This window comes from Homo sapiens, chromosome 18 (assembly GCF_000001405.40).
Source record: "Homo sapiens chromosome 18, GRCh38.p14 Primary Assembly".
Classification (NCBI taxonomy): domain Eukaryota; kingdom Metazoa; phylum Chordata; class Mammalia; order Primates; family Hominidae; genus Homo; species Homo sapiens.
In genome coordinates, this window is record NC_000018.10 from 34,070,807 (window position 1) to 34,092,886 (window position 22,080).

General features: G+C 33.9%; 1 protein-coding gene across 31 annotated transcripts in view; it reads right to left on the minus strand.

Moving 5' to 3' along the window:
- The window catches only part of NOL4 (nucleolar protein 4), a 373,814-nt gene that overhangs the window by 219,707 nt on the left and 132,027 nt on the right, over nt 1-22,080 (minus strand). The window lies entirely within an intron of this gene.

Here is a 22,080-nt window from a genome sequence, read left to right on the forward strand (position 1 = left end):
ATTCTTTATGCTTCTTACTCTTTGTAAAAGGCTATTATAAGCAAAAATAACAATATAAACATGAATCTTATAATTTATGAACAAGTGTAATATATAAAATCAATAACACAAAGAACAAAGGAAACAATTGGAAATATATAATTTTAAAATTCTTACATTAAAATAAAATGGTGTGGTCAATGGGTACAAAGTTACAGTTAGGAGAAATAAGTTCTGGTGTTCTATAGCATAGCAGGGGTGACAATAGTAAACAACAGTGTATATTTCAAGGTAACTAAAAGAGAAGATTCTGAGTGTTCTCACCACAAAGAAATGATAGATGTTTTAGGTGGTGGATATACCAAAAAACATGATTTGATCATTACACAATGTATACATGTATCAAAATTTATATTGTACCCACTAAATACGTACAAAGATTGTGTTAATTTAAAACAAAATAGTGAACAAAGCTCTTTTAGTAAACAAAAAGTAAAATAATATGGTGAAGTATGAATTCAAAACTTGCTATAATATAGATACATATTGAAATTCCCAGACAACCACTAAAAAAATAGAGTTTAAAATACTCCCGTTAAAAGGCAGAGATTGTCAGGCTGAAGATATACACAAATAGACAGACAGACAGACAGACACACACACACACACACACACACACACACAGATGATCCCTGACTTAACGATGGTTCAGTTTATAATGTTTTGACTTTGCAGAGGTATGAAAGTGATGCAGATTCAGCAGAAACCATACTTTGAGTATCTATACGACCATTCTGTTTTTAACTTTCAGTAGATTATTCAATAAACTACATGAGATACTCAACACTTTATTATAAAATAGGCCATGTATTAGATGATTTTGACCAGCTGTGGGCTAATATAAGTGAATGTAAGTGTTCTGAGCACTTTTAAGCTAGACTAAGCTAAACTATGATGTTCATTAGGTTAGGTGTATTAAATGCATTTTTCACTTACAATATTTTCAATTTATAATGGGTTTATTGAGATGTAACACATCGTAAGACAAGGAGCATCAGTATATGTATATTACGCACATAATGAGGGGGGAATGTACCTAACTATATGATAACCTACAGAGCTATATCTTAAATATTACAAAACAGTTTAAAGATAAAATGAAAGGGGCCAGGCGCAGTAGCTCACGCCTGTAATTCCAGCACTTTGGGAGGCTGAGGCCTGCAGATCATGAGGTCAGGAGTTCGAGACCAGCCTGACCAAGATGGTGAAACCACATCTCTATTAAAAATACAAAAATTAGCCGGGCGTGGTGGTGGGCACCTGTAATCCCAGCTACTCAGGAGGCTAAGGCAGGAGAATCGCCCGGGAGGCAGAGGTTGCAGTGAGCTGAGATCACAGCATTGCACTCCAGCCTAGGTGACAGAGCGAGACTCCATCTCAAAAAACAAACAAACAAAAAAAGATAAAATGACAGACAAAGGCACACTATTCAAACCCTAATCATAAGAAAACTGTTGTGGCTATATTAGCATCAGACAAAGCAGATTTCAAGACAAAATGCACCAGAGATATTCAGGGACATCCCATAAAGACCAATGGGTCAATTTAATAGGAAGACATCATTTTAAATGTGTATATTATTAATAACAACTTCAGTATACATGAAGCAAAAATGGAGAGAATTAAAGAGAAGTAGATAAATGCACAATCGTAGTTTGAGATTTTAACATGTCTTTATGGCAAATTAATAGAACAAGTAGATGAAAAAAAGAAAAAGACTATATATTTGAATGACACTATCAATCAAGTTGACTTAGTTTGCATAAACAGAATACCACACAAAACAACTGTGTAATACCTCTTATTTTCATGTGCGCACGAACATTTACCAAGTCAGGTCATGTGCTGGACCATACAGCAAGTTACAAAAAATTTTAAACTACTTAAATGCCTTTGTCCGTCATTTCATTTTTAAGCTGTTTTTTATATATAGAAGACAATATAAAATCTAAAAAATAAAACCAAATATTTGGAAATTGAACACCAACTTCTAAATAATCTATTGGTTAAGTAAGAAATCACAAAACATTGTAAAATATTTTTGCTTAAATTAATATGAAAACAAAATGTATCAAAACATGTGTAAGGAAGCTAAAGTTGTGCTTAGAAAGAAATATATAGTTTTATATGCTAGTATTAGCTATGAGGAGTTTAAAACTAAATAGCCAGGGACAAAACAAATTAAATGCAAACTAACAGAATGAAGTAAATCCTAAGTTAATAAGTGTGACATCAATTAAATACAAAACATACAAAATACAGAGAAAGCACAATATAGCTAGATGCTCATTTGTGATAATATTAATAAAATTGATAACCCCTTGAAATAACCAATCAGGAAAATAATAAAAAGAAAAATACATCAATTACCAATATCAGGAATGAAAGGTGATATGACTACACGCTCTACAGAAATTCACAGGACAATAAAGTGTTATTCTGAACACTTTAAGCCAATAAATTAGGCAAATTAGATAAAATAGAGAGGTGATAGTCGTCCTTTGGTCTCTGTGGGGGAACTGGTACTCCCATGGATATCCCAAAATCCATAGATGTTCAATCTCTTATAAAAAATGATGTAGTATTTGCATATAACCTATGCACATACTCCAGTATACTTTAAATCATCTCTAGCTTACTTAAACTGCCTAATACAATGCAAATGCTTTGTGAATACTTGTTATATTATATTGTTTAGGGAATAATGACACAGAAAATGAGTCTGTACATGTTCAGTACAGAGACAACCATTTCTTTCTTAATAAATATTTTCCATCTGCAGTTGGTTGAATCCATGGAATGTGGAACCCATGGATGAAGAGGGCTGAATACTTTTAAAACACACTTGTGACAAAAGGGAACAGTAAATGTAAATAGCCTTGTATATATTAAGTAGTGAAGCTACAAAATAATAGGGATATAGTAATGCAATCAAATAAAAAACTAGGCATTTGTTTCTTCCAGAAAAGAAAAAAACAATAGAAAAACTTTTATAGGAAAGAAGGCATAGTCATCTATGGACAACACTTACATAGCCAAAGCAATGTACAATTAAATAATGTCTAACCAAAAAATGTGGTATGACTAAATTGGGAGGATAGGGGAGAAAGAATGGGTGAATGCTATAAAAAGCCAATATATAATGTCTAACTAAGGAAAAAATCAAGAAATAGCAAAAACAAGAAGTTACTTATAAATACATTAGAAAATAAGAGGAAACAGCTAAAATATTTGAAGTAATTACTTTTGTAGAATAAGAAAAAAGGAGAATAGTCAAAGAATTGTATTTTTTAAATATTCATATTTTTGGAATATTTTGGTAATATTTAACATTGTAAATCTCAAATAATTGGATTTTTCAATATTCATATTTTTTAATATTACATATTAATATCTGAGATTGTAAATTATTTATATGCATTATTTCATTAAAACTTAAATTAACAATGATATAAGCTCATTATAGAATTTTTGAAAAATACAAAAAGTCTAAAGAAAAGAAAAATCATATTTAATGTATTTTAGAGATAACACTCTTCATATTGTTGTGGTATTATATATAACCTTGTGTAATAAACACAAACAAAAAATACATACACTAAGAAATTTGCAAGTTTTTATATTGTTTTACTTAACTGATAACACTTTGAATTGTCAGTTTTTATAGTATCCATTTTTTATGCTTATCTAAATTTATAAGCAATATATCACAAATCATGAAACTAATGCAAGCATAAAGAATAATAAAAATGTGTTTTATAATGGGGAAGAGGAATAAGTTTCATAGCCCAAGGAAGATGATATTTCACGAGTACCAAGAATTAAGGGAATATTAGGGCACAGTGTAATAAACAGATAGATACTTTTTTGGACTTTTCTCTTCTGGTTATCAAACAATTTTAATAAAAATGGTTCTTAAGAGAATAAAGTAGTATTTCTGTTATTGTTCCAATACAAAATGGTTTTACTTTTCTATACTTCCTCTCATATGTAGGGTTTAATGTTTTAGCTTATATTATGTAATTGGCTTACTCATTAAGTCATTAAGACTTCAGTTAACAAAGTATCTTTTGTCTGACTTGCTTATTGCAATAGCCCTGGTAATAAACAAATGTCTGGCTCATAGTAAGTACTTAATAATTAAGAAATGGATGGATTATTTTAAAACTCAGTATATTAACAATTGTCTCCTCAATCATATTTATGAAATTTTTGAAGTGCTTCCAAGAGTGAAAAAATTCTTCGTACATTATACAGGTTGAGTATCCCTTATTTGAAATGCTTGGGACAACAATTGTTTCAACTTTCAGGTTTTTCTTCAGATTTTGGAATATTTGCAAATATATAATGAATCATCTTGGGGATGGAACCAAAGTCCAAACATGAAATTCACTTATGTTTCATATACACCTTGTATACAGAGCCTGAAGTTAACTTTACCCAACATTCTAAATCATTTTTTGCATTCAATTTTATGTACATTGAACAATTTTATTAACCTTTGTGGGTGTGTGTGAGAGAATCTAGGAGTGTGCAGAAAATATATATTGCCACTGAATAGAGCCAAGGGTCTTTTTTCCCTCTGAGAATACTGAAGAAATTGTGTTGGGTGCATGCATTTTGACTGTGATTTGTCACATGAGGTCAGGTTTGGAATTTTCCACTTGTGGCATCATGTTGGCACTCAAAAATTTCAGACTTTTGAGCATTTTGGGTTTCATATTTTTGGATTAGGAATGTTCAACCTATGTCATGTTTATCACAGTTGAACAAAAGTGGGGAAGAGGCTACACTCCATGTAAATCTTACTGCAAGTCATGACATTAGAGACACGGTCAAGGTGAGACAAAATTATGAAAAGTCAAAACACATTCTCTTATGTTCCTCTTCCTCCAATTTGAAAAGTTTTCACATGGATAACTGTTACAGCTGGAAGACGAGTACATTCATATATTCTAGTACTTTCTTTGAGTGCATTTGAATTTTTGTATATGAGTTGTATGTGAAATATATATATATTTCCATAAAAGCAGAAAACAACCTCTAAGTTCCTGCAGAGCCTTCCCAGTTACTAATTGGTCATTTCATTTTAGGTGTTCATTTATAATTGCTAAGGCTTTATTTTTTTGTGGGGGGAGTATAAATTTTTTATAAGAAAGAAAATATAAGAAGTTTCAGATCCCCAAGTTATGATGGTAAAAATTTAAATACTATCATAGGTGAATGAGAGACACTTTAATAGAGGACAGTCAATAGCATAGAGTATATCTGTGAGTAAATTACAGAAGGGCTGCCTATTTACGAAAGGTGCTTCCTCTGGTCAGATGAATTATGAAAAGGTTCCCTCTCCCCTACGCAAATGCAGCTTCCCACTAGCAAAGTTGGCTTGGCAAAGCAGAACATGACCTAGAATGGGCCTCTACTTTCTCCATGGTTAGCAGCTTTGTAGTGCGCACAAACTTTTTCACTTTATTATACCCATACGGAGCGGCCAGGAGGAACCATTTCTGACATCCACCAAATCCCTCACATTGGCAGTGGCCTATTCTACTTACTCCAAAGGTCATCCTGAATAGTGTAAATGATTATCTAACAATGTGACAAAAAATACTGCCCATTAACTGGACTGAGCAAAAGTTACCCTTAGACTTGAAAGAACGATGAAAATGATATTCCTACTAAGCTTTGAAAGCTGGGACTGTTCAAAGTACTGCAGTTGCAGGAGACCCTCAGACTGGAGGGTGTTTCTTAGTGATTCAAATGTCACCTGAGTCCCACTCCAGGAACAGAAGTCACTTGAACAATTTGTACTGAGCTCCTCCTATGCGTCCGAGTTCAAAGATGGGCTCCTTAATTCCTTCACACAGATTCGAGTTACTACCTTCTTTTATGTAAAAGAATGCAAAATGGTAAATCATATTGAATAGCAAAGTAACCCTTAATACTTCCAGAATTCTTAGACACAAATTTTCTACAAAATCGTTGCTAGTAACATTTATAATAAAGTAGAAAATGTCTCTTTTTAGCAACATGACTGATAAACATGAGTCTTTAAATGATGAACTCTCTGCTTATATTTGATCTGCACACACATCTACAAATTCCCAGGGGTGCATTCACAAGTTAGCATGAAAATATCTAACACCAGGCAGGAAATTCTTGCCTTAGAAAGAAATGGGGCTAGGCACAGTGGTTCACACCTATAATCCCAGCACTTTCGAAGGCTGAGGTGGGTGGATCACTTGAGTCCAGGAGTTTGAGACTAGCCTGGGCAACATGGTGAAACCCGGTCTCTACAAAAAATACAAAACAAATAGCTGGGCATGATGGCACACCCCTGTGGGCCCAGCTACCTGGGAGGCTGAGGTGGAAGGATCATCTGAACCCCAGTGGTTGAGGCTGCAGTGAGCTGTGATCATGCTACTGCACTCCAGCCTGGGTGACAGAGTGAGACTGTCTCAAAAAACAAAACAAAACAATACAAAACAAATCAAATGGAACTCATATTGTCTACTGAATTAAAAATCAAGACAAATATTTCTCTTTTACTAATGCTTTCATATATCTACATATATATAGATATATACACATATATACACACACACAATCACACACACATATAAAAATGTGTATATATCCACACATATGCATGTATATATATGTATACATATTTAAAGTACTTAATTCCCACAAAGCACCTAACGATTAACTTTAAATATAAGTCATAATATAGTATTTAAACACAACATGCAAGGACAACAAAACAAACTAAAACCTACCAAAGATCCTAATTTTAAGTGGAATTAAAGTCTACAGAATAAAAAATACATAAAACAAAGAAGAGAAAATTCACTTTCATTCATATGAAATAATTAATTTAAAATATTTGTAGAAAGGAAATATATTGACAGAAATTTGATATCAGTAGACCTCTAGTGGTTATTAGAGTAACTGATAATTTTACTACTCTCCATTACTGCTTTCTGTGACCTAAAACAGTTTTCAAATGTGCCAAAATGTTATTTCCCATGGCAATACTACAAATAGTAACCTACTCATGTAGGTTGGAAAACAAAGCAAAACAATTAAACTAACTTAATAAGTTAACCACAAACTAACAAATAAAATAATTTTTACACCTAAGAAAAGTCCTTATACATGCTTAATTTTAGAAATTCACTTTTCTCATCATAAAATTTCCATGAACTGAAAGAGAAACCCATTGCATATCTGTATGTTACTTTCTCTCATTTTTAGATAATTACAATATGTTGGCATTTTCTTGATGTCAAGATGTTTTAATCAAAATTTAAATATGTGAGCTATAAATAAATACTTGTATTTATCTTTACCTTAGAATGAAATGAATGTTAGCTTCAGAGGATGGTGGTCGTAACCCTATCAACATTGGTCACATCACAGAAATTTGTTTTAGGGAGACATAAATTGTGTCTGAAGTGAAGTTAATTCCCTTCTTTTAAATTTAAGTAATTGTTATTGAAGGATGACTTTTCACCTTTATTAGTAAAGACAATTGTCAAAATGTAAAGGATGTCTTTAAGCAACGCCATTTCTGATGTGAAACTAGATGTCATGGACATAAAAATTACCTCCATAGGACAATGATGGACAACCTCAATGCCATCACTTCAACAGATCAATTACTTCCCACAAGTAACAATACATTTCATTCCTACAAATCATCAAATCATTTCAAAAGGGGAAGTGTAGGAGAAGATAAAACATTTAATAATTCATGTTCAAGATAACTTATTGGTGTATCTATAATGGCAAGCCAATATGAAAACAATAATTCAATAATTACTTACATGGGAACAAAATACTATATCCAGCAAACACAGTTTTAAAATGTTTTGCTCTAGAGAAGGAATTCTAAAATGCCTCGTGATCACTTATAAAAGAACATAGGTATATAATAAACATAATATCCAATTTACTACAAGGTATTAAAAAAGGAGAGACATTTATCAGGATGATAAATTTAAGGTAGCTGTGAAGCTCTAGATATGGTAATTTCTGGCCTCTGCCCCAAACCTAAGGTTAGCGGTTGTTACTAACACTTGCACTTCAGGTAGGACTGGCATAAATTCACATGGTCATCAACTCAACTGTACAAAAATAGAAGACATTTTTTCTTTTTAATTGAATCTAGTTTATTTGCCCCACTTCTGGTCAGGGAAGGAAACCGGGGCCAAATGAAGCTCGCTTAGCCAACTAAAACTCAGTTTAGCCCGCTAAAACTCAGTAACTTTTGTCAGGATTCTACCACCACTCCTTTCTCTCTAGGAACCTAAATAACCATATTTTGTGAGGCTTTGGAAGTGTGGGTTGGCAGAAAAAGGAGGCAAGTGTATTCTCCCCTAATTATCCCCAACGAAGAGTAACTTTCGCATCATATGTCTATCATTGTTAAATCTGCTGATGATGACCATGAACTTGTCAAGGCTTCCAGGTGACAGATTCAGGACTTCTGTGTCCTGAATCTCCAGTTAAGGAGATTCTCCCAGTTCACCAAACCTCCCAGCTGCTTCTCCTTGCCACCCCATCCTAGGCTGGAGTGTGTATCTGTGAGATTTTCCTTTAGTGTAAGTACCTAAATACCCCATGCCATTGTTGCTGAACCCTTCAGGTGCCATGTTGGACAAATGAGGCTAGCAGTTTTCCTGACTACACCTTGAGTAATGAGACACACACTTGCTCCGATCTTGTACCTTCAACCATATACCAACTACCCTGCCACAGGGACAATATCCAGTATGCTTTTCCCAGTGAGCATCACATCTTATTTCTCCAAATTGCTCTTTCCCACACACATATGATTGAACGATTAACTTCTTTTGGAAGAAAAAAAAAGTTCTTATGTAATTATGCATTCTTGTCTCTTCTATAATTTATTCATTCAGACTTTTAGGTTTTTGCTCCTATTTAAAGCCAAGTTTTTAGAATTCTGTTCTTTGCCTGCATCTTGCAAGTCAAAGTCATGGTTTTAAAGATATATAACTATGCTATTAATTTTAAAATATCTACTTAAACACTCAAAAGCCAAGCAATTGATTGTTGTTTCTTTCTATACCAGACTTAGCCTAAGGGCTGTTCATTGGGAAAATCCTGAATTCTGCTTAAAGGAGATGTGGTAAGCAGAAGTAAAAGGCATTGAAAAACAAAGCATACCTAATACCAAAATATTGCCCCATTTGTACCACAACAATTTAGAAGGCACGAGGCCTTGACACATCCTATTGCTTCTGCCTTACATGTTCTTGTGCCTTTTGTCACCTGTGATGTGTCATTCATCCTCTGGATCTCTGTCCCTTACATTGAGAAGCATTTGCAGCTCCTCCATCCTCAGGTCAAACTGTAGCCACTGCTAGACTCTCTCATAAGACTCCTCTTCCAGTTTGTAGTTATACATATATTCCTATAGTTATCTAATGGCCTCACCCCTGCAACCAGATTACATATCATCTGCAAGATTGTGGGCCTCTTCTATTTTGCACACTGCTGAATCTCCAGCCCTGCATATAGTTCTGGCACATAGTAGGTGGTCAATAACATTCTGTTGTAAATGACTTTATTATCTAATAAGTTCCTATAGACTCCGATGTTAATAAGGCATATATTACCCCTAATTGAAATGAAGGGCTCATAGGCTAACATAAAAAGCGGCATGCACCAGGGCACACAGGTTATATCACAGAACTGGGATCTAAACTTTGATACTGTGAAGGCTGGGCCACTGCTACGTCCATTGTACCACATCCTTGTCCATCATATTCATCCTTTTTTAAGAGATGGGCTCTTGCTACACTGCCCAGGCTGGCCACAAACATCATCATCTTTAATAACAGTTAGGATGTGCTTTATAAAGAAGTCTTAGAAAACACATGTTTAACTGGGTAAAGCATCATTGTTAATGGCAAAAAGAAGCACAGTTTAATGGAAAGAAAATAAAATGTAAGGTTTAGCTTTGAAATGGGAATAATGTGTGACATAAGATACTAATTTGATTGTTAAACTACATGATAGTCATTATTGTAATAGTACCTCAATGGGTAAAAAAACAGTTTTCAAAGGAAAAAGCCAAAGTATCTAGTCTATCTGGAACTTATTTATAAAATTTTCATACCCAGAATAACATTCTGCAGTCTTCTTTTTAAGAAATTAGAAGATGGCCCTTTATCTACTGATGCAAATGCAGAAGCTGGCCTATTTACAGATTCACAATTGTTAGACAGAAAATATGCCTAAGTGGTAACTGATTCTATTATTAACTTCTCAATTTACTAAACATAAGTTCTCAGGACCACAATATCTTTTAAGTACTTTTAATGAATGTTATTGGTCTAGTTTCTTTATTTCCACAAATGCAAGTAACTTCAATTAATAATATTAAAACTTCTTTTGAAGTTTGGCATTTTATTTTGAAAAGTTTGCTCACATTTGTGTAGGACTGAACATATTTGATAAGTCTACTTAACTATAATCTGGATAATTTCCACATTATACACATTTTAATATTCTTTTAAAATATTTTATTAGATTGAAATGACTATCACTATTATATAATGTATGTTATTTTAAGACATGTGACTTGTATAATTGATAGCTGAAAATAGCCTATTTTTCTGAATGCTTTATGTAGGAAAATGGCACTCTTCATCAATAACATATATATTTTATTGTATGTCACACAAAGCAAGGCTGAATAGTTATAAAATAAGCTTATAAGATAAGGTACATCACTATTGACATGAGTGGATGGTCATGAATGAAGAGTGTTTTTCTTTTCCTTCCATCATAGCTTGGTCTTATTATTTAGAATAAAGCACAGTAAAATGAAATGAGAAGATACAAAATAATAAATGCAGCCAAAGAGGGCAGCCACATTTTCCTATTGTCCTTTCCAGACAAAGGAGAATTGGAAGGAATGAAAGAAACTGTCAAAAGTCAATTACATATTTAACAGATATAAGAAAATATGAATTTTAAACACAGGGCAATTATTGTCAAGAGAGATTACTGAACAAACAGAATTTAGGTTTCCTACTCCTGTTTTAGAGAGCTAGACAGAACCAATACATTTCAATGGCTACAAATAATATTTTAATTTCTTTATAACAATGCAGAAACAAAGAGGATACATGCATGATAATAGGAAGTTACAGGAAAACATCTACAAGTGGTTATTATAGACAGATTATAAAAGCACAAGCTATATAAAAATATTAGCTATATTATTAATTTTCTGTTTAGAAAATAAGAACATAATGGAATGGTTGAGCCTGCAAAGCATAAAACAATAGGTGTGAGCAAGCATAAACTATAGGATATAATAAATGCGGTGGTTACACAGCTGGGCTTGTGGCAACTTAGAAACTCATGCTTAAAGCCATGGGCATCAGAACCAGAAGGCTGTGTTCCAATCCTGTTTCTACTACTTAGTAGTTGTGGTGATGATAGGCTAGTAAATTAGCCTCCGTGTCCTCTTGTATACCAGAAAAAGAAAAAAAAAAAGTGTCCACCTCAAATGGCTCTAGTAAAAACTTTAAAAAGCTTATTCCTCAAACAGCGCCTAGCGTTCAGTAAACAGTCAAGAAATTTTAGTTCTCGTCATCATCTGTCCTTTGAGTTAGAAATGCCTTTTAAAAATAATTTGATTTTATATGGTTGAATTGAATGAGAGTTTATATGGTTTTTATTGACTCTAAAATAGAATCATGCACACAATATTTTAGATAAACAAACTACTGGTTCTGCTGGCATGCTTTAAGAGAGTAGGCATGTCCTCACAGAGACCACTTTAGAACCCCACATCACCATTCAGTGCACTAAACTCCACTGTCCCTATGCTGATAACCTGATTTCTCTTGTTTGTTTCATCACAGATTTGAATAAAGACAGGGCTAAGCAGTGATGAGTTGCACGTTTTATTCTGTATGGCACCAGGAATGATTCTCCCTAACATTGTTACACCATAACAATAATGACATGTTAGTGAATTAACCTCATAGGGAGAGATGGGCTGACTGATGATATGTGACTGCCAGAAACCCTCAAAATTTCTAAAATGTATATGAACATTTAAGGTTGCCAAAGACATAACAATGCAGTGGTTGAAGGAAATCCCAAGAAATACTCCAGTACCTCAAAACCTCAGGAAATATTTTATGAAAAGTGATTGAGTGGAAATTAAAAATTATTGTTGAAACAGCTAAATTTTGCTCTCTCTCTCTGTCTTTATATATACACATACCCATACATATATACACATGTACGTTCAAGATGGATTAGGGATAAGGGTTCTTATGAATGAGATTCTTCATAGAGGAAAAAGAAGGAAGTGATGATTTCACAATATTTTGGCAATATTTGTGAGCTTTCATGTTGACTATAGTTTCTTGAAAATGGAGTGGCAGATTGGGAGGAAAAAGGAGGAAACAACTCTGAATGACTCTCGCAGCCAGGATGGGAGGGAGAAACTAGAAGAGTGGAAAGTCTGTTCTTTCAGGAATCACCTTGGTTTTCTAAGGAAGGGCCAGCTGGGAGAAAAATGGGGGTGTCTCCATTGCTTTTAATTCCTTTCTCTAGTTTAAGAAAGCACTAAACCAGTTTAGAGATGTACAGAAAATGAGACAAGATAAAATGTTAGGAACAAGAAAGAGAACCCTAACAGGGTGAACACACAGATGGTTCTGGAACTATAATAAAGTTTAGAGAGAGATTATCTAAAGCTTCTCATTTACAAATATAGAAAAGGTTGTCCAAAGTTGTCAATAATACTTAAATAATGTTGCAGAACTAGTTACTGGCCGAGCTAGTGTCAATATTTATGGCTGAGAGGTCTTTTATGCTGTCTTCTTAATGAATTCACTTTAACATACCAAAGCTACTAATTATTTTATTGCTTCATAGTAGATTGTGGTTGTAGAAAAGGAAGAATTCACAGGCCTCAGGAACCCCAAAGTAAGATATAAAAAAGACAGAATATTCATCCATGGACGTTGTTGTTGTTTCTTTCTGTGTGGTTTTCTTTTAGCAGTCAGGCCCTTCTTCCTTAGGGCTACTGCGGTTTGTTGGGGGTTCACTCTGGACTCTATTCACCTGGGTCCCTCTTGCCCCTGGAGGTATCACCAGTGGAGGCTGCAGAGCAGCAAAGATGGCAGCCTGCTTCTTCCTCTGGAAGTTTTTTCCCAGAGGGGCACTGACCTGATGCCGGCTGGAACGCTCCCATATGAGGTGTCTGGAGAGTCCTGTTGGGAGGTCTCACACAGTCATGAGGAGCCAGATCAGAGACCCACTTAAATAGGCAGTCTGGCTGCCCCTTGGTGGAGCGGGTGTGCTGGGCTGGGTGGAATCCCCCTCCTCTGGGCTGCCCTGACTCTCCAGAGCTAGCAGACAGGAAAGACTAGGGCTGCTGATCCAAGATACTGCGGTCGCCCTTCCTCCTAGGGGCTCTTCTCAGGGATACCAGAGTTCTGTCCATAAACCCCTGGCTAGGGATGCTGAAATTGTAACAGGGAGGCCCCGCCCGTCGAGGATAAGGAAAGCAACTGCCTATATAATATTTGGCAAGAATAACTGAGTCTAAGGGTTGAGTGCATTTCACTATAAAAGTAAGCAGATGGGGAAGAAATTTCAAAATACTATTTCAATTTAAAAAGTATTTATATTTTATTGTATTTCAAATACTGTGTGTGGCTCCAAAGAGAATATGCAAGGATACATAAGATATACTTTGTTTTTTGTCCCCAAAGCACTCCCAGTCAAGTGGAGAAATGAGACTGGTAAGAAAATAATTACACTGTAAATTTATAATAATTATAATGAAATATCCTTTCAACCCCTTTCTTCAATACTTTCCAACTGTTCTTTCTTTATATCACCCACAATCTAACTAGGATCTCTATAAACCTAGTAAATAAAGATTTTCATGGCCAATTTACCCCTACGTTGTAGTTGATTTATCTGTCTGCACAGCTGGCATGCAACACCAGCTTCAAAGCCCTACTAAACACTGAAATTGCTTTGCCTAAAGGCTAAAGCTGTTTTTAAAAGAAGTAGTAGCTAGCTGACCCAAATTAGTACAAGAAAGTTATAAAGGAACACAGCATGGTGTTCAGTTTACGGTAAGAGTTTATAAAGGCTAGCCAGGTGATAGTAAAAACAAAAACAAAAATAGACAAAAAAGACAGTTGTTCAAGACTTTCAAGTTGGAAATGCAGGTGGTCTGATTCTATAATATAGCTGGATATATAAATCAATAGGTTCAAAATTTATTTGAATAAATTCAGAAAGGATATGTATTGTCTAACATCTCTCCAGTTGTTATGAGGCTTCTTAATTTTATTTATGCCTTAACAGACAGACAGAAATCCATATTTAAGGATTAAACGGTCTAGCATCTGCTATTTGGTCCTAACAGAAATTTGGCATCTCCTGGAGGTGCTGAAACTGATTGAACTTTGGATCCACATAAACATTCATGGACTGGCAAACACTGTCAAGAAGATAGTGACAAAACCAAAAGAGCAATATCTCAAAACAAAGAACTAACCCAGCAGTAAAATTTCAAATTAATCTGACGTCCTTCACTGATCAGATTAGACTCTCCAAAGCAAGCATGTAACCAAGCCGATTTCCCCTAGTTTCCCAGAGGATCAGAACCTAGCTAAGATGGGACTGGTCTCTAGGGTGTGGCAAGTTTGAGCCTGAAATCAATGAGCTAATTCTCTAAACAAGCACTCGTTTATATGAAAACACACTTATGTAATATGAGTAAAGTATTGAAAGGCAGAATTGTCACTAAAAAAGGTAGAGCAAACTCCCAAATAAGTGATCTTAAATGTAAAAAGTAAATAACATTCCCTAGATATGCATTTTAAATAAATATACAACTAAACATCATTTTTCATACCTATCCTTTATATGTAAGTCAAATTGCCTTTTCTTCTGCTTTTGGAAACAGAGAATTACTGCTTAAAAGCAATTTCAAATGATTAAATACTTACACATGAACACACATATACACACAAATAACAATATTATGAATGGATTTAATAATCAAAATCTCCTCCAATTCATAGTAACATTCCTTCAAATTACTTGTTTTCTTTATATTACTTATAAAGGTAGTTTATACTTCTGTAAATTATTATACAATTATTTATAGAGCAACTGCCATAAAGAGAGTTTTCTAAAAGCTTCATCGAATTAACTAACTCAATTCAGAATATTTAAACAAATTCATCATGTGAATTAGGTTTAATAATGCATTAAAACAACTTGAATTAAGAAAAAAGAGCAGCATTGTATCATTTTTAGGTATTTTAAGTCCAGAAGTGTATGCAAATTAAAAAGTGAGAGTAAAAACACTATTAGGAACGAATTCAATTTTGAAGTCAAATATTTTATTACATTTGTATAAAAGAATCAACATCCTTTTAACAATTTTTGCTCTATCCCAAGTTTCCTAAGAAATTGTAAACACTGAAAGAAAACAAACTTGCACAAGAAAGAAAATGACTTACACAAGACAACATAATCTCTCCAGGGAATCTGGTGTTCAGCCTGAAAAACATTTTAATAGCTTTTCTGATTAAAATTCACCATCACAAAAAAGTTAACCACTGAATTTAATTTCCTATTCAGTATACTGTTTTACATCACTTTTATTAAAAACATGTTTTATTAGATTTTCCAATGAAATTAAATGGTGAACAGCACATAGTTCTTGCTTTTACTGCTGGTTTATACACTTTAATAATTACATAAAACTATCTTATTCAACCAAATTAAATTCAATTTTAGCCACAAGCATATTTTTACTAAAATTTTATTCACATATAAACTGGGCAGTAAAAACAGCATTTCAAAGGAGTATTTCATGTGTGTTTGTGTGCGTGTTCTAAAGTCCAGTGTGTGCAGTGTTCATATACATAAGACTGAAAACAGACTGTAAAATTTCTTAGAGTAGAATAGGAGCATTTTCAAAATTTACAAAAGAACTGTCATATGTGGCAATTGTCATAACTAAGAAAACAGAGCTAATTGAAACACATACAAACACATACATATACTAGGAATGAACTTACATGCTATTCCTCATTCAAAAAGTAACTCAGAAGTTACTGGTCACAACATTTGAGCATGAAGTGCACCAATGTGACTTAATCCCCTTTAGACCTATTGCCATTTTGGCACTCCAGAACAGCTAGGTAGAATAGTAAAGAATATCTTCACAAGCATAGTGTGGAGCACTGGTTCCCATACTTACATCCCACACAATTGTCTTAGTCATCCCATCTGAGATGGGTCCCATGAATCTGTATTTTTAAAATAAATTCCCAATGTAGGAGTTTCAGGAGGCCAGTTTAGCACATAATCTGAATTAGGATATAAGAAAAAGTGAAACTCCAACAGTTATATCTGTTAATGTACTTATTTATCTCACAATCAGATTGCTATTTTTTGTTAACTTACTCCCCTCTATGTTTCCACTGAAAAGAGGATTGTGATAATTTTCGAGTGTACAAGTCAAGAGATACACAATGTACATATGTGAGCATCATTGCTATCTGAAACAGAAATGCATCTCAATTTCAAAAACACTTTGTTTCCATATCTTTCATATTCTAGTTTAAGCTATTTTAAAGCTTGAACCATCAGTTCAAATCAAGGAAGTATGGCAATTTCATATGGTTTAATCTAATATGCAATGTTCATGCTTGTAAATCCATTGTCCAACTTATGCTAGAATTTAATATGTATTAGTTGAGTGAATAATGAAATATTGGACCTCACATCATTTACCCTTGTCCTAAGTATACCCAAGGATCCAAGTGAGTTACCTTTTAGAATTATATCTCTGAATGGTACATTTGCCTTTTTTTTTGACTACCTAGCCTCTGAATATGCTTCCTATTTTTGGTGAATTCTATTAATATATCATATGTGTCTTAGTGGGAGGCAAAGATTTTTACTATGGAGGCCAAAAGGCTCAAAGGACCATGGGAAAATATTTAATATAGAAATATTTTAAATGGATTTCTTAATAGCTTTTATAGCTGATTAAGCTGACATACAGAGAATTTAAGGGTATGCCTCAACATTCCTTTTATTCCTATTATCTTTTTTTAAAATGCAAATATATATATATAAATTGTTGCAATTGAAAAATACATAAATATATTGGTAATATCTAATAATCTTTCTAATTATTTGTGCTTAAAAAAGCACAAATACTCCCTTACAAAATATCAATAGTTTACATTAAAGTGTTAACTCAGAAAAGTGATTAAAATGGTTCTTAGAAAAGTATCCTTCTATAAAATGAAGTAAAATGCTTATTTTGAACTGAAACTTTAAGTCTGTTTCTAAATCTGACACTTTTCTTTTGCCAGATATTTTTTAAAAATAACCCCAGACAAGGAATGAACATCAGCTGTTTTAGAAGGTACAAATTCATAATAAAGTAAGTAATTGATTTAGGAAAGGGAATACATTTTTGAGCTAATCCATGCTTCCATAAATGACTAGGATCTGAGATTCAAACACAGAAGCTCAAGTGACAAAATTTCTGTTTCTAATCCATTTAAATGGCTGGCAGAACAAGAAGAATGCTTACAAACTGCTGAATATTTGAAGGATGCCTTTAGCTGTTAGTCCTCGAGATGCTTTTTGAAATTCTGTGAACCGCAGCCATTGCATAGCAAAACTTCCTTCATAATAAGTCCCTTATATTCCACAACACCTTCAAGGTGTTTTGCTTTTACTCATGCTTTCATGAGTAAAGCAGACGTATATATAACCTTTAAATGATTTTAACTTAAAAACATTCTTTTAAGTCTGTAAAAAAAAATTTAAATAGCTCAACTTAGTTTCCTCAAAACCAAAAATGAGGGTAAAATACTTTTTATGCGAAGATTCAGTTTCTAAGCATTTTTTGCCTTTATGTTTTTATTGAGTTAGGGAAATATTATAAACCTAAAAAAGGCAAAAGAAGCAGAATACTATACATTAATCCTGAAGCATTCTTCTTATTACAAATTCTTCATTCAGGTTTGTGTCTTTTTGACCTTTATCTAATTATCTAGCCTGGGGAAAAATATTTTTCTTCTTTTTCACCTTTTCTGAGTGTATACATATCTATATATCCAGATATGTATTTCCAACACAACGCACATTTGATAGTCTTCTTTTCCCTTGGTTTTTAATGAATACTTTTCAAATTTTCTATAACCATAGTGAAATAAAAATTGTAAAAAAAGTTATTTTACTCTTCATTTTATATGGTACCCAATAAGGACATTTTTATACCTACCTGTTATAATTATTAGGAAGGATTTATAAAAATCATAATGTCCTACTTCAATTTCTCTAAATAAAATCTTAATCACTTAATGTTAAAAAAAAATTTTAATTTAACTTAAAATAATTTGTATTGTTTAGATTTTCAAAATATTAAACAGGGATTTCAGTCAACTGTTAAAATAGGAATTTCTTCTATAGTTTTTCCAGACTTCAGACACATTCAACCAATGGCTGCAGAGAACAGAGTTTAACTGCCAGTCAAAATAAAATAATGATCTATATCTACACTGTCTGACACAGTAGCCACCGGTCACATGTAGCTATTTAAATTTGAATTAAAATTAAATTAGAATAGTTTCTCAGTAACACTAGCCATATTTCAAGTACTCAATAGCCACAATGTGGAGAGCGACTATCAAGTTGGACAGTGTAACTAAAGAACTATTCTGAGATTGCAGAAAGACAACTGGGCACTGATTCCTAGGCTTTTCTTTTGTTTTCAACTTAGGGTAATTTTGTCCCACAAGGGACATTTGCAACATCTGAAGATATTTTTATTTGTCACAGTTGGGAGAAGGGGAGCTAAGAACATGCAGCAGGTAGAGGCCAGGAAGCTGCTAAACATTATGCAATGCAGAGGACATCCCTCTCCAACAAAGAGTTGTGTGTCAATAGTGGCAACACTGAGTTTGATATACATTCCTTAAAATTGTGTGTTATATGAGGTAGGTCCCATGCCTTTTTTTTTCTTACTGTGATACACACACACACACGCACAAACACACACACCCCTAATATAGGAAGCTCTAAAAGAAAGGTAATGTTAGACAAATAAATCAAGATACAGAAGAGCATAAATGACATAATTCTAGGTTTTTGATGACAAAATTTTCTGAGTATGTATATGGGTGTGTATTTGTAAACAGGAAAAAAAGAAATTTTACAGAAGGTTGTCAATATGGATTACCTAGGAGAGTACCATTGTCAGAAGGAAGGACAGAAGAAAAGAAGATAAATATGTAAAACTTGTGTTACAAAATATAATTATGGTAAAAAGTTATATTTTAATCATTTAAATGATGGAGAATGTAAGAACTAACTCAAATGAAGCCAATGAAAGGAAAACTTTAAGCATGTGAAAACTCATTAATTAATATGGTATTTTCATTCTAGAAGAGAAACAGCTAATAATTGAGAAAAATAATGCAGTTTCATACAGTGATAAGTCCTCTGAAGAATGTTAACAATTAGGAAATAGGTAAGGGGAGATAGTCCTGAGCTCAGGAAAGATGTCAGGGCTTGGAGAAATAAATTTGGGATTCATCTAGATAGAGATGTTATGGAAAGCAACATGGTTAGATGTAGTGTACTAGGGAGTGAGAAAAAGGAAGAGGGAGTTGAAGCCTGCACTCTGGCATCTATAGAATAGAACATAGAAAAGGAGCCCACAGAGATGAATGAGACAGAAATGGCACCAGAAAAAAAAAGGGGGGGAGGCATTGTCCTTAAACATTAGCGTTGAAGGAGATGAGGACTAAGGGTTGACCAATGAATTAAGCAATAAGAAGCCTGCTGGTGATGTTCACAAGAACAAGTGAAGTTGGTGGCAAGGATGAAAGCCTACTTGAGATGAGCCAAAAAGGATAGAGTGGAAATAACGGGAAAACTCTTTCAGAGTTTCACTATAAAGTCTTTTGCAGGGGTGGTGCAGAGAAATAGGGTGATGAATGAAGAGGTGCAATGGGATATGACATGGTTGAATGTTTCTGTCCCATCCAAAATTGATATTGAAACTTAATCTCCAGCATAGCAGTATTAAGAGGTATGGCCTTTAGGATGTGTCAGTCTCATCTGATGAATAGGATTAGGTGCCCTTATAAAAGGGCTTGATAGGCCAGCCACAGTGACTCATGCCTGTAATCCCAGCACTTTGGGAGGCTGAGACGGGCAGATAACTTGAGGTCAGGAGTTCAAAACCAGCCTGGCCAACATGGTGAAACCCCATCTCTACTAAAAATACAAAAAAAAAAAAAAAAAATTAGCTGGGTGTGGTGGTGTGTGCCTGTAGCCCCAGCTACTCAGGAGGCTGAGGCAGGAGAATTGCTTGAACCCGGGAGGCAGAGGTTGCAATGAGCCAAGATCACTCCACTACACTCCAGCCTGGGCAACAGAGCAAGACTCCATCTTAAAAATAAAATAATAAAACAAAATAAAACAAAAGGGCTTGACAGAAGGAGTTTGCCCCTCTTTGGATCCTGCCACCATGAGAGGATATGGTGTTCCTTCCCTCGGGAGGATTCAGCAATAATGCACTATCGTGGGAGAACAAGCTCTTCCAGACACTGAACCTACTGGCACCTAGATCTTGGACTCCCAGATCTTGGACTCCAGAACTGTGAGAGATAAATTTCTGTTCTTTATAAATGACTCAGTCTCAGGTATTTTGCTGTAGCAGCAGAAACGGAAAAAGACATAATCAATCGAGGCATTTTAAAGAAGATATTTATCAAATTATGTTTGTATGTAGATTCTAATAATCCAGTAGAGTGGGGAAAACCTCTGATGCAGGAGAAAGAGGACGGATCACTGCAAGAGAAAACTCAGCAAGAAATGTAAGAAAAAAGTATCTTACATGTAAGGCAAGGAAGGGTTAGGCCTAGGTTAGAATATCATCAATATATCATGAGAAAGTGCTTTTCCCTAAGAGTATATAATATTTGGAGTTATTCTACTGCATTTGATTAAAATCAATATAGATTTATATCACAGCAGTTGTGCCATAGCCAAAGACCTGCAGCTTGCAACTTCAGTCAAGTAAACAATGAATTTGCATGATGAGAGACATCCTCTACATTCTCTATACACCCTCTACATTATCTATATTCCCTAAAATTATATATAGACTAAGACGGCAAGGAGATACCTAAGTTAAATGCATAAGCAAATTAATGGAGTGATATACATTACTAAGAATATTTCAGTTACTCTATGATCTTGGTACTATACAATGGCCATTAAAAAAATACAAAATCTGAGGAATGCCTACTCATGTTTTAGAAGAAAAGAGAAAATTTATATCTAAATCAGAAAAACTTCATTCTTATAATATTTCCAAATAAATTGCTTTTCTACTACAATAGCTATTATAGCACGTAGCAATTAAGATACTATCTTAAAGTCACTGATAATCAATGCATTCCTCATTTTCTTATAACTCATGCTAACAAGGACACCAGCATCTTTTAAGATTAATCTGAAGTGAGAAAAAGAAAAGCCCCTCTGTTCTTGGACGTTTTTTATGCTTAAAACTAGGGATTTCTTAAGCCTTGCCAACACAAACAGAACACAAATAGCAGCTAGAAATACAGCAATCTTTTGCAACCAGTTTGTAATAGCAACTGTCAGAGAAAGCAAAGATTTTTTCAGTATCTATAAATGTAAGTACAAAACTCTTCAATCAAAAAGTTCATATGAACTTGTTAAATACAGAAATAATACACAAATTTTGAATATAACTGGCCAATTTCCTTCTATTTAAAACCCTTTTTGTCAGCAATTACCAAAATAAGTCACATTGACTTGTATACATAATTGTATATTTACAAAGACAAAAATCTACAAAGGTAGTGTTCAAAGATCTCCAAAAATATTAGGCCTACAATGTTAGTATGACATCTACTTTCTCTACATATCTAGCTTTCTTCCTATCAA